The following is a 14943-nucleotide window of genomic DNA, read 5'->3' as shown; positions in this document are numbered from 1 at the left end:
TGGTGATGTTTGTATAACTGTGAATATACTAAAAACCACTGAATTGTACATTTTAAATGGGTGGTTTTTATGGTGTGTGAATTATTTCAGTAAAGCTATTAACTATATATGTATATATTTTTTTAATTAACAAAATTTTTTTGAGACAAGGTCTTGCTCTGTTACCCAGGTTGGAGCACAGTGGTGTGATCTCAGCTCACTTGCAACCTCCACCTCCTGGGCTCAAGAAATCCTCCCAGTTCAGTCTCCGAAGTAGCTGGGACCACAGGTGCAAGTCACCACACCTGGCTAATTTTTAAATTTTTTGTAGAGACAGAGTTTTGCCAGGTTGCCCAGGCTGGTCTCAAACTCCTGAGCTCAAGCGATCTGCCCACCTCAGCCTCCCAAAGTGCTAGGATTACAGGCGTGAGCCACTGCACCCAGCCAAAAGTATATTGTTCTTATTAACCTATTTTATAGAGAAAAAGGAGGAGATGAAAAATGATTCTCTCATTGTAAACTAATTGACTTCATTCATTCATTCAATAGGTATTGTTTTAAATCAACTGATTCTTAAGTCTCATGCTTTTTTCACACTAAAATGATATCTAGCTCACTACTACATAGAAAAAGCCAGTGATAAGAAGGTTCTTCAGCTATTTTTTTTACAGGTAAGATCTTTTGTGTCATTAAATAAGCAGTTACTAAAATATACTCTTGAGTGTTAAAGCTCTAATTTGTAAGAATTACAACAAAAATGTAAATGGTAGCCAAAAAGTGAACATATATTAAGTCTAATAAATTGATCTAGTTTCTCATTTGAATCTAATATTTTCTTTAGAAATCACTTAACAAGGCTGGGTGCGGTGGCTCATGCCTGTAATCCCAACACTTTGGGAGGCCTTAGGTAGACGGATCACCTGAGGTCAGGAGTTTGAGACCAGCCTGGCCAACATGGTGAAAACCTGTCTCTACTAAAATACAAAAATTAACAAGGTGTGGTGGTACACGCCTGTAATCCTAGCTACCTGGGAGGCTGAGGCAGGAGAATCACTTGAACCTGGGAGGCGGAGGTTGCAGTGAGCCGAGATTGCGCCACTGCACTCTAGCCTGGGTAACAGAGTGAGACTCTATCTCAAAAAAAAGAAAGAAAGAGAGAAAGAAAGAAAGAAAAAGAAAGAAAGAAAGAAAGAAAGAAAGAAAGAAAGAAAGAAAGAAAGAAAGAAAGAAAGAAAGAATCAGTTAACAAGTAAGTAGGGAGGAGAGAAGGTGAAGTGCTTGATTTTCTTACTTGGTCCAAATGCCTGTCTCTCATGAGTTCATACTCATTCTGCAGGGTGTGCTGGAAAAGGGTCCAGATGATATGTTCTAATTCTGGGTGCTCAGACAGAAGGCGTTCACAAAGTGTATTTAGCCGGAGATAGGCTAGCCGATACACTGTGGGAATAAGAAAAATTAGTCATTTTTACTGTTCATTTTGAATTACAAGTAGATTTTTTTCAAATCATGAAATCGCTCTAATTATAATGCTGTTAAGTAGCATTTTAACAGAAACCTCTTTTCTACCACTCTTTTCTTTCCCCCAGAGAAACATGTTTACTGGTTTATTATGAGGCATATTACAAGGGATACAGATGAAGAAATGCAGAGGGCAAGGCATGTGAGAAGGGGCATGGATTTTCCTTGCCCTCCCCAGGCATGCTATTCTCCAGGAACCTCCAGTTGGGCAAATATCCAGAAGCTCCCAGAACCAGGTCCTTTTGAGTTTTTATGGAGGCTTCATTATGTAGGCATGAGTTTTTTTAAAAAATAGGTGTTTGGGGGAACAGGTGGTGTTTGGTTACATGAATAAGTTCTTTAGTGGTGATGTTTAAGATTTTTCTACCACTATTTTCCTTAAAAATAATTGATTCCTTGTGTTAGCACATTTCTAGGTACATATAAGGCAGAATGATACTTGCTGAATTAACTATTATGGCATGAAATTGGGGCAGAGGTGGGAAGTAGTGGAGGAAAGGTCATAAGACACTGTAAAATTAGACAAACCCAATAGGGTTTGTTTCAATTCTATTAATAATCACTCACCACTGGTCATTCCCACTATCAATATTAAAGAGGAATAATCATTTTTTTAAATTATATAATTGCCAGTGTCTATGAATTTTTCCAATCCTAAAAAAATTAAACCACACATTTCTCTATAAAATACCAATGGAACATACTCTGTTGAAAAATGGTAAACTTGTAGATTACCTATATGTAAAATGACTGCAATATGTAATTTATTTAGTTTATAAAAAATACTACTGAAAATGCAAATTTGGCAAAAAGGAATCCATAAAATTGAATTTTCCTTCATCTACTTTAAATATCATATAAAGACCTTTTATATATCTCTTTCAACGACTTGCATGAGGTAATTTGAAATTTTTAAAGCTAACAATTTATCTCAGTGGTCTTAAACTTTAGCATACATCAGACTTAGCTGGAGGGTTGTTAAAACAAGGTTTTGAGGGCCCTATCTTAAGAGTTTCTGATTGAGCAGGTCTAGGCTGGAGCCCCAGAATTCTCATTTCTACAATTTCCAGGTGATGTGGATTCTGCTGGTTGGGAACGACACTTTGAAAACCACTGCTCTAACCTAAGGATAATATCTGACAATATGCCTGTAAAGCTCAGCATAATTCTTACTTGAATAAAATCAGGAAAAAGATTATCATGGAGGAACATGACCTTTTACTGTCTTTCAAAGAGCTCCAAGTGGATATGCACTAGGAAGTATATACGCATGCACAGACACTCAAATCAACCTCCCCACCCCACCATATATACACACTCAGAGAATGCTACATGACCTGGTTACTGGCCTTCTTAAATGTCCTGAAAATATCCAGGAAATGTGTCTGCAGTAGGCAACAACACACTACTTTTGTATGTACATCACACCTGCTGCAGCAGAGAGGCGTGGATGGGGCGGCACGCTCCAGGAAGCCCGGAGGAGCCGGGGACAAGCAGGAACCCCGCCCCTTCCGAGTTGGGACAGGAGCTCCCCAGTGCTTCTGCAGCCGCCCAAGCCACCGCTGCGGACCCAGGCATCCCTGTGCTCTCTGGGCTGGGGAGCAGGTAGGAGTCCCACCCTCCCCAGTGCAGCTGCAGCTACCCAAACCGTGGCTGTGGACCCAGGCATCTCTGTATACTTGGGGGCCGGGGAAGGCACCCCCCAACTGCCACCGCCCTCGCAGGCTCAGAAGTGCCTGCTCCCACTGCCTGGTTTCTCCCTGCTGCCAGCGCCCACTCCAATCTCGGAGCAAAGTCAGGGCTGAGCCTGGGTGCTGCTGCAGCCCAGCCAGATGTGCGCACGCTCAAGGCAGCGCTGACACGCCAGCCCCCTGCCGCCTCAGCCCTCTCCAGACTTTGGGCGCTGACGAGCACGGGGGGGAAGCCGAGGCGGGGGCTGAGGGCAGCTTGGCACTGGCCTACAGGTGCCCCTTGACGCATGGATGGCGGCAGGAGGCAGATGGGCTCCTGAGCAGTAGAGGATGAGTCCCTGTTGAGGCCCCACCTTCAGGCCAGGGAGCGCCTGAAGGCTGGGGGTGGGCGCTGCCAGTCCCACGGACAGGAGTGAGGACTTGTGGTACCTTTTCTGGGCCCACTAGTGGCCGCCCATGTACCAATCGGTGCACACTTTCTTCCCGCTGAGGCCCACAGAAGCCCGAGTCTCAGCCAGAGCAGAGCAGAGGATGGAGAGACAACTAGCTGCAGAGAGGAACTACCCTCTCTACTGATAGCTGAACACTTGTCAGGACGAGCAGCTGCAGAGAGGAGCTACCCTTTCTGCTGAGAACTGAACACTTGTTGGGACGACCTGCCTGCAGAGAGGAGCTACCTTCTCTGCTAGGAGCTGAACACTCATCGGGACTTTGTGGTTACAGAGAGGAGCTGCCCACTATGGGTCTTCTCTAAGCTGTTCTATTGCTCAATAAATCTCCTCTTCATCTTGCTCACCCTCCACTTGTCTGTGTACCTCATTCTTCCTGGCTGCAGGACAAGAACTCAGGACCCACCAAATGGCGAGGCTGAAAGGGCTGTAACACAAACAGGGCTGAAACATGCCCCTTGCTCGCCATGTTGTGGGTAAAGAAGAGAGAAGAGCTGCGGCCCTTCGGGGAGCCCAGAATTGGGAGCTCCTTGAGCCAGGGCTGTGACTCCCTCTTTGGGGCCCTGTGGTTTCTGGCGTCTCCAAGCTTCTGGGAGCCATTTTATTGTTCCCCAGTGCCAGCTGTGGAAACCGCTTGTGGTGTGTCTGGTCCAGGTGCAGCCTCACAGAGAGTTGGCACCTGTGCCAGCACCTGGAGCTGCCCGCCCCGCTGCAGCAGCCAGCATTTCTGACTGTGGGCAATGGCCAGATCTCATGCTTGCCCACACACCCCTCTCCGTTCCATGTCTGACTTGCTCCTGGCTGGCATGGACCCAGGCCGGTAGTGTGAGCCGAGTGCAGCCTGTCAGACCAAGGGGCTGAAATGAGCCCGGTGGGCCTGAGCAAAAATTGATCAAGGGCGCCACCGGTCACAGAGGTTTCCGGCCAGAAAAACGACTCTGAATAGTCAAGAAAGATCTCGCAACATTATCATTTCCATTTTATAGATGAGGAAACTGAGACACAGAGATATTAAGTGACTTGCCCAGTAATGTACCTAGAAAGTAGAAGAAACATGATTTGAACCCAGTCAGCCTAGTTTCAGAGTCCATGCTCTTGAAAATAATCATCTACTAACCTTTTTTATAAAACAGTGAAAGAGAGGTAGATTTCAATGGCTTCTGGGTCTGGAAGGCTGAGGTTGCTTGTGTCTCTGCATTTGCAGTAGAATTTACACGCGTAGTTGAACCTTTTTTCTTTGGAGATCTTACAGGAGAAAGATACCTAGATATATTTAAAGGAAAAGTCTTCATTTCAAGTTGGCTAAGAATCACAGATTATACATACACTTCAAGGTTGTACACCCAGATACATCTTGTCTATTTAATTGGTATTATAGCAGACTATTTAAATGCAAGCTGGGAAAGATATATTAATAGGAAAACTGCTTGTCATCATCATATCTAATTCTATTTTAATAAATGGCTTTTCCTGGGGATTACTGCCTTATTAGAAAAAAATAGCTATATATGTATAATGTACAATTTTAATAATTATAGTGGTATTGAGACCATAAGGTGATTCCAGCTTAAAAAACAATTTATTGATATTAAATACTGTTATCTTGTTTTTGTGATTCTCCTTCTAAAAATTTTTTTAGCGATAACTATGGTTCATATCTAAGATTTCAGTTATACACACAGATTTACACACACCTAAATTACACAGTACAGAATTCTATGAATTAATACTTCAAATAACATTATTCAGACAGATTTACACCATACTAAATATGTCAGGCATAACTCAAGGCAGAGATATTACAAATATTATCGTTCTGTGCTGCCCCTATTTAACAGAATAATCTAGATCTACTTTCTGATTTTCTTTTGGTAGCTGGCAAATGAACTTATTTTTAAAGACAAACTTTAAGAACAAAGAGAACAGGAAGTAGAATTTGTACCTTACTATGGATGTTTCTACAACACGTAGTATATTAACCAGTACACTAAGAAAAGCGACCCATTATCACAATGATTTTAGAAGGACCAGTGTCTGGTCTAGTATCCACTTTGGATTTTCATTCAGTTCACTGACAGTATCGTAAACTGGCCTAACTTGGGCAAAGTTAGTCTCTGAAGTTCTAGGTGTAAATCTCCAATTACCTACCGGATATAACTACTCGAATCTCAGACTTAATAAGAACAAAGCAGAGCTCTGGATTTATTTTCCCATCTCAAAGAATAGCTCCACATTACATCTAGTGTCTTAAGTCAAAAACCTAGGGTTATTTTTAATTTCTCCATTTTCCAAATTCCTGAAATCCAACATAAAACCAATGTAAAACCTATTAATTTATCTCTAAATACACCCCAGATCTCTCCATTTCTATTTCTAATACCATACCTTAGACCAAGTCACCTACATCCCTCATCTGAACTACAGAAATAGTCTCCAAATTGGTTTCCTCGCTTTTTGCCTTGCCCTGTCCCTTTCCTCCAAACCCACCTGTACTTCAGATAGCAGCTAGAGAGTGGAGATCTCTACAAGATCTACCCCAGCTTAGCTCTTCAGTCTCATCTTGCACCATTCTCCTCTTCCAATACCCCAGCCACACTAGGATTTCTTTCTTTCTGTTCCTAAATCCAGCTAAGTTTGATCTGCCCTACAGCCACTGCACTTGCTGTTTGTTCTGCCTGGAATGCACATCATGCAGGTTTTTGCCTAGCTAGCATCAGCTTGCCCTTCAGGTGTGACGTCAAAATATCACTTTATCAGAGAAAGGAAAGTGCCACTAAGCATTCTATCAGCCTCTCCGTTTCTCTCTTTCACACCACTCTGTTTATTTCCTTTGTAGCACTTATTATACTCTAAAATCATCTTACATCTTGGTTTACTTGTTCATTGCCTGTGTTCCTCCTCCAGAATGTAAGCTCTATGAGGGGAAGGACCCAGGCCATCTTACTTCTGTATTCCCAGTGCCTACACCACTTCCTGGCAGTTTACAGATGACTGCTTCTTGAATTTTAAAAAAACAAGGCTTAACTTATTTATACAATGCATTACTTAGGAAACAAATGTATACATGAAGGCAGGGTCTCCATATGCCAGAAACACTTTGGGTACAAGTTAGCATGAAAATGACATCTCTGGAAAATGGCCCCTGCACTAATACAGAATACTGTAATGTCAGTTCCTACACAGAATTAAACAGAAACAAAATATTAGGCACATTTCTGTGAAAGGCAATGTAGTTAGAGTGATTAAGAGCCTGGACTTTGGGATTAGATAGCTTGGGTTTGAATTCTATTGACCTTAGGCAAGTTATCTTATTTCTCTAATTCCTATTTTATAGTTAACAGGCTGACAGCAGTATCTGTTACCTTATGGGCTGTTATGAAGATTAAATGAAAAAATAAATCTTAAGTACTTAGGCCATTGCCCAGCACACAGTTAGTGATTGCTTTTGTGAAAGGAAAATAAACACTTGGGACCCCAATTCACTATGCCAAAAGGAAAAAATTAAGCTGAAATCTGAGTCATGCAAGAAACTGCCTTTCCTTTTGTTCCCACACAAATAAATACAGATAAAAGGTTAAATACCTCCACAGACAGTGACTCTATGTTCACCTTATCTTATGTAAAATGTCGATTCACTCAGCATGAGATGGATAGATAATTGACGATTCCTCTACCTGCTCTTTTTCTCTTGCAACATGTGGATTACCATACCCTTTTTCTTTCCCCTCCAGACTGACTTTCCCATTTAAATATTGGAGCCCTCAAAATCATCACTGGAGAAAGGCACAGATCTCTCTCCTGGGCACGTCCTTAACTTTGGCAAAATAAACTACTACATTGATTGAGACCTGTTTCAGATACATTTGGGTTTACATTTTCTTTTCCCATCGTCATCACCAGCACACACTAATCAACTGTGTGTTAGTCCACATCCCATACTTCTCCCTACACTTATCCTATGCTTCACTCCAAATGGACTGACCTGCACACTCTGAAAAATGTTTTCTGCTTCCTTTGACATTTTTGAGTTAATGCCATTCTGACTCTTGGAACACACTCCTCTGTCTCCTCTATTCTCTCCAGTTTCCACATTGAAATCCTATTCCACCTAAACTGCCAACTCTGCCATGAAAACTGCTCTCATTATGCAAATCCTAGGTGATTCAGTAGCACTCTGTACTCTTTTATATGACTTTATTTGGGTCATGTACCTTTTATTACTAATTTCTTAAAAACAGAAACTATTCTTATTCAAAATTCTATTCCCTACAGTTTCTTTATAGAATGTTACATTGCACTTATGCTTAAAATCTATTTGCAGTTTGAATGGTCAACATAACATATATTTTGCTTACATATCTGCTGCAGTGTGATTATTCTGGAGAGGAAGATTAAGAGGACAAGCAGATTCAAGGTGATCAGTTGGTCCTTCTCGGTCCTTTGATTGTTTAATAAGATCAAATAAAGGTGAATCCTATATGAAACATGATGAAATTAAAACCACATTAGTAAGCATAATTTTCCCAGGTACATATCAAAATCATATTGTTTGACATGGTAAGTACTATGAATTTTAGGCACAATTGACAGTGGCAATTTAAAAGTCAGAATGAAATATTTTTCTCTACTTCGAAATTCCCAATTGACAATTTTTGTACTTCCCACACACAAAAAAGTAGAAAAATGTATAACCTTCAACGCTTATATTAGAAAATAAGTTAGAAGTTAGGAGGAAAGACAGAAAAAAAACGAAGAAAGTGGAGAGAAAGAAATGAAGACATGAGCAGAACTTAATGAAACTGAAAACAAAGATAAAACACAGTTTGGTCAACAAAGCCAAAAATGGATTCTTTGAAATAACTAACAAATCTCCAGTCAGATTGATCAAGATAAAGAAAAGAGATAGATAGGCAGTATTAGGTATGAAAAATGGGACAAAATCACAAAGATTAAAAAGATAATAGGGAATTATTATGAATAATTTTATATCAATAAATTGGAAAACGTAGACCAAGTGGAAAATTACTACAAAAATACAAATTACCAAAACTCAATAAAAAAGAAATAAAATAACTTACATAGTCCTGCAACTATTAAATAATTTGAATCAATAATTTAAAATCTTCCCATAAATAAAACATCAAGCTCATTTGGTTTTACCAGTAAATTCTACCAAACATTCAAGGGACAGATAATTCCACTTTTACTCAGATTTTCTTCCTGGAATGGAAAAACTAGAAACATTCCTCATCTCATTTTATGAAGCTAGTACAATATTGATACTAAAACCAGTTCAAAGAGCAAACAAACCCCAAAGCTAGCAGAAGACAAAAAATAACCAAGATCAGAGCAGAACTGAAGGAGACAGAGACACAAAAAACCCTTAAAAAATCAATGAATCCAGGAGCTTATTTTTTGAAAAAATTAATAAAATAGACCACTAGCTAGACTAATATAGAAGGAAAGAAAGAAGAATGGAATAAACGCAATCAGAAATGACAAGGGAGATACCACCCTTACCCCAAAGAAATACAAACAACCATCAGAAAATACTATAAACACCTCTATGCACATAAACTAAAAAATCTAGAAGAAATGAATACATTCCTGAACACATACACCCTCCCAAGACTGAACTAGGAAGAAATCAAATCCCTAAGTAGACCAATAACATGTTCTGAAATTGAGGCAGTAATAAATAGCCTACCAACCAAAAAAAAAAAAAAAATCCCAGGATCAGATGCATTCACAACTGAATTCTACCAGAGGTACAAATTTCTACTGAAACTATTCTAAAAAATTGAAAGGAAGGGACTCCTCCCTAACTTATTTTATGAGGCCAGCATCATCCTGATAGCAAAACCTAACAGAGATACAACAAAAAAAGAAAACTTCAGGCCAATATCTCTGATGAACAGCAATGCAAAAATCCACAATAAAATACTGGCAAACCAAATCCAGCACACACCAAAAAGCTTATCTACCATGATCAAGCTGGCTTCATCCCCAGAATGCAAGGCTGGTTCAACATATGCAAACCAATAAATGTGATTCATCACATAAACAGAATTAAAGACAAAAACCACATGATTATCTGTGGTTGCAGAAGAGGCCTTTGATAAAATTCAACATAATGTTAAAAACTCTGAACAAACTAGGTATTCAAGGAATGTATCTCAAAGAGCCATCTATGACAAATCCACAGCCAACATAATACTGAATGGGGAAAAGCTGGAAGCATTCCCCTTGAAAACCAGCACAAGACAAGGATACTCTCTCTCACCAATCCTATTCAACATAGTATTGGAAGATCTGGCCAGGGCAATCAGGCAAGAGAAAGAAACAAAGATATTCATATAGGAAGAGAGGAGGTCAAATTATCATCTTAACCCAAAACATTCTTAAGCTGATAAGCAACTTCAGCAAACTCTCAGATACAAAATCAATGTGCAATAATCGCTAGCATTCCTATACACCAACAATAAGCAAGCAAAGAGCCAAATCATGAATGAACTCCAATTCACAATTGCTACAAAATGAATAAAATACCTAGGAATACAGCTAACAAGGGAAGTGACGGGCCTCTTCAACAACCACAAACCACTGCTCAAAGAAATCAAAGAGGACACAAACAAATGGAAAAACATTCCATGCTTATGGATAGAAAGAATCAATATTGTAAGACTGACCATACAGCCCAAAGTTATTTATAGATTCAATGCTATTCCCATTAAACTACCATTGACTTTCTTCACAGAATTAGAAAAAACTAATTCACATGGAACCAAAATTCATAAAATTCATATGGAATCAAAAAAGAGCGCAAATATCCAAGACAATCCTAAGCAAAAAGAACAAAGCTGGAGACATCACACTACCTGACTTCAAACTATACTACAAGGCTACAGTAACCAAAACAGCATGGTATTAGTACAAAAGCAGACACACAGACGAATGGAACAGAGTAGAGGACTCAGAAATAAGACCACACACCTACAACCATCTGATCTTTGACAAACCTGACAAAAACAAGCAATGGAGAAAGCATTCCCTATTAAATAAATGGTCCTAAATAAATTCCCTATTAAATAAATAAATGGTCCTCGGAGAATTGGCTAGTCATATGCAGAAAATTGAAACTAGACCCCTTCTGTAAACCTTATACAAAAATTAACTCAAGATGAATTAAAGACTTAAATGTAAAACCGAAAACTCTAAAAATCCTAGAAGAAAATCTAGGCAATACCATTCGGGACATAGGCATGGGGAAAGATTTCATGATGAAAACACCAAAAGCAATCACAACAAAAGCAGAAATTGACAGTGGGATCTAATTAAATTCAACAGCTTCTGCACAGCAAAAAAAAAAAAATATATATATATCATCAGAGTGCACAGACAACCTACAGAATGGGAGAAAATTTTTGCAATCTATCCATCTGACAAAGTTCTAACATCCAGAGTCTACAAGGAACTTAAATTTACAAGAAAAAAACAAACAACTCCATTCAAAAGTGGGCAAAGGATATGAACAGATCTGAATTCATATAAATTGGAAACTTCTGGATGACTAAAACTACAACAAACTAAATTAAATGGAATCTGCAGAAGATAAACAACATTGGTTAAAGATGCCAAATGAATGCAGACATTAACTCTCTCTCATAAAACCCCACTAAAACGGCAATAAACTGACTTATTTTAAAAGACATAAACCTTTCAGATACAACACTTTTTTTTTAAGAGACAGGGTCTTGCTCTGTCACCCGTGCTGGAGCACAGTGGCACAATCATGGCTCACTGCAGCCTCCTGAGTAGCTGGGACTATAGGAATGCGCCATGGTGCCCAGCTAATTTTCTGAAATTTTTTTTGTAGAGACAGGGTCTCCCTATGTTGTCCAGGCTGGAGATACAAAATTTTGAAAGCTTGGAAGGCAGATACACAAATGGTAACCTACTCAGTAGGTGAGAAAAAACTGAATTGGAACTCAGCATTAAGGAAAGCCAACAGGCAAACCAGATAAACTTTTAACCCACCAAAAGGATGTGGCAGTGGCGATACCAGGTACTTTGGGCAGTGAGGTACTGAGTAACAGGATAAAAAACCTAAAGATACGCAATGGGGGTTTCTTAAGAAATTGCTCTACCAAATAACTATACAATGAAGTTCCCAAACCTCATCCAGGTGCTCAGAGTTTCTAACTAATTTTTAGTGATTTACTCTTTTATATGAGTGGCAATCAAATATTTCCAGAAAGTCCCTAATATAAATATGCCAAAACAAAATAACAAAAAGGCGATCTGGGAGATGCAGAAACTATGCAGGGAGAAGAAATTTAAAAAGAAAGAAAAAAAAACGGCGATTACGCAACAGTTCTTTCAAATAGGAAGTTACTCATGCCTAAGCAATACATTACTAAATACTATTTTTCTTATTTATCCTGCTCTTAATTCACTCAATAAAAAAAAGCATGAAGAACAAGTTTTAAAAAAGCCATTAGCAATAAAAGCACAGGTCCTGGAATTAGAGATATATAAGCTCAAATTCTTGTTTACTAGTTTGAAGTTTACTAGCAATGAAACGTTTTGCTCTCTGAACCTCAGTTTCATTACTTGAAAAACAGGAATACAGCACTCATTTTGCAGGATTACATGATACATCACATGAAGTGACTTCAAGTAGCCACTTGAACATTCAACTCTTTTCTCAGCTTTCAGTGATTTGGCTTGATTATTTTATTTGAATTTCTTGGATGTATGTATGAATGTGTTAAAGATGCGCTTTCAACTCTAAACTTTCAGGAGAAACAAACTGTCTTTTCTTAACTTTACTCTTTTCCTTTCTACATGTCAAGTAGGTACTTGATAAGCTGTGAATAAAAAGAGGCATGATAATCATATAGTCATTACACATATCACTGCAAAAGTTTAACAATTTTCAGCCCTTTTTCAGTTTCAGCAGACCAACAGGAGATGGGTTATTATCTGTAATAGTGACTCACTACAGAAATAATTCTTAAAGGTGGAGATGGTGAGCATGAGTTGTCTCCTATGGAGGCATCAGAAGAAAAGGTGTCCTACAGGAGCTGGATTTTATGGCGGGGAGAAAAAAGAGAAGGTGGCATGTATGCTTTGGAAAAAGAAGCAGACTCTACAACTCCAATCATATAATTTTTGTTGACAAGTCATCTTTTCCTATATTCATTAGGGGCACTGCAGTGTAAATAATGGCTTTCATCTGAGCAAAGTAATGCTAACAATTAACACTTAGGAAATTCATTCCAGCTAATACACATACTGTTATACTAAATATTTTATACTTCCTAGCCATGGATGAATTGAAAATCTTTAACTAAAATGGTATGAGTATAAACCCACATATATTCAAGAGTGGCCTACTACCAATTTTTCTTTCAAACAATGAAATTTTAGGAGACTCTTGAGACCTTGCAAAGATGTGTGATTAATAGGACTTAAGTACACTAATTAGATATTTTAGATACCTTTCAGATATGAGATAAAATCTAGTTGTGCTTCAGATTCACCCAATAGGATTATACTAAAAGTAAATTTCTCTTCCAAGGATTAAGGTGGCATTTTTCACCAATAGTCTTCATATTTCATTCAAATATCACTTTTATCACTCCATCACCCCAAACCAAATGGTCACACAGATATATAGATATTGGTTTATGATGATGAGTATGTCATGATCACGGGAAAACTATAGTGCAGTAGGTAGGAGCACAAACTCTGGAGCCACAGTACATGGGTTCAAATCCTGGCCACCTGTAGCTACATGACCCTCAATAAGCTTCTCAACTGTAGAGCAGAGATACTAATGATAATAGTAGTAACTTAAATCATAGTATATGAGAAGTGAATTAATAATGTTAAGAATTGGGAACAGTGCTTGACACAGAGTAATATATAATATTTGATATTATTATGGTTGTGATTATTTACATCTATGAGTGCCATTATACAAAGAACACTCTATTTCCTCAAACGTATGACTGTATGCCTAGTTATCCATCCATCCACCCAGTATATGTTGTATGTCTATGCTAGGAAGTAGAGCCATAAATGTAACAATGCTCCATTTGTCAGATACTAAATAGCCTTGAAGGAGTATTTCAGAAGCATCTGCCCTATTTGACCTTACTCAACATCTTCACTTGATGTCTATGTATAAAATAAACTTTAATCATCCTCTACCACCCCCCAAAAACGACTGCTTCTCCCTAGTCTTTACCATATCATTAAATCACTCCTTGTATCCAGTTGCCCAAAGCAAAAAAGACAAGGAGTCATCATTATTATTCTTTCTCTCATACTTATCCAAGACACCAGGCAAGTCATATTGGCTCTAAATTCAAAATATATTCCAAGTTTGACTTCTTTTCATTACCTGTACCATTGCTAGAGTCAAAGCAATTCTTATCTCTTTTCTGTCCCACTGCAAAAGCATCCTACAAACTGGTTTCCATACTTCTACTCTTGCTGCCTCCTAGATGTCCTCATAGAGCTAATATGTTACTCCCTAACCCACCTCCACACTCAAAACCCTGCAAGAGCTTCCTGTCACACGTAGAATAAATTCAAATGCCTTATCTTGGTTTACAAAACACTACATGAGTTCTGGCCCCTTGATACCTCTCAGACCTCATGCTCTAACACTCTTCTTACTCCAGCCATCCTGGTCATCTTTCTATTCCATGACTGTGGCATAATTCTTCCTTTCTCTGGGTTTTTGTACTTGCTGTTTCCTCTGCCCAAAATACTCTTTGACCATGCTTCCTATGACTCACCCCACTCCATTATTCACATATCTCCTCAAATAGCACCTCCTAAGCAAAGCCTTGTCTAAACATCTTGCCTAAGACAGCCATAATTCCCATTTATTTGCTACTCCTACCTCTGCTCTATTTCCTTCATAGTATTGATCACCACTTGAGGTTATGTTATAAATTCATTTATTTTCTTATTTATTATCTCGCTACTAGCAAGCAAGATGCAGGAAGGCTTGGGCTTTGTCTATCTTATTCAATAGTATCCCCAATGTTTAAAACTACCTGGCACACAGTAAGGGCTCAATAAACATTTGTTGAATAAATGAATAAAGTGAGAAGGTTGATATTAAGATAACTTAATCTCAAAGTTTTCTGAGATTAACTCCACCTCAAAGTGAGAATAAGATTTAAAATGGGGCCAGGCATGGTGGCTCAGGCCTGTAATCCCAGCACCTTGGAAGGCTGAGGCAGGTGGATCACCTGAGATCAGGAGTTCAAGACCAGCCTGGCCAA

At 38.8% G+C, this 14943-nt stretch overlaps 1 protein-coding gene across 2 annotated transcripts in view; it reads right to left on the bottom strand.

Moving 5' to 3' along the window:
• RB1 (RB transcriptional corepressor 1) overlaps positions 1–14943 on the bottom strand; it is a 178140-nt gene that overhangs the window by 20787 nt on the left and 142410 nt on the right. For both annotated transcript variants that reach the window (NM_001407165.1, NM_000321.3), the window contains exons 18-20: positions 7993–8111; positions 4755–4900; positions 1271–1416 (exon numbers count right to left, since the gene is read on the bottom strand). In NM_001407165.1, the coding sequence (NP_001394094.1) occupies positions 1271–1416; positions 4755–4900; positions 7993–8111 (411 nt within the window). The remainder of the gene's footprint in view (positions 1–1270; positions 1417–4754; positions 4901–7992; positions 8112–14943) is intronic.

This window comes from Homo sapiens, chromosome 13 (assembly GCF_000001405.40).
Source record: "Homo sapiens chromosome 13, GRCh38.p14 Primary Assembly".
Taxonomy (NCBI): Eukaryota; Metazoa; Chordata; class Mammalia; order Primates; family Hominidae; genus Homo; species Homo sapiens.
This window is presented reverse-complemented; position numbering and strand designations above follow the sequence as displayed.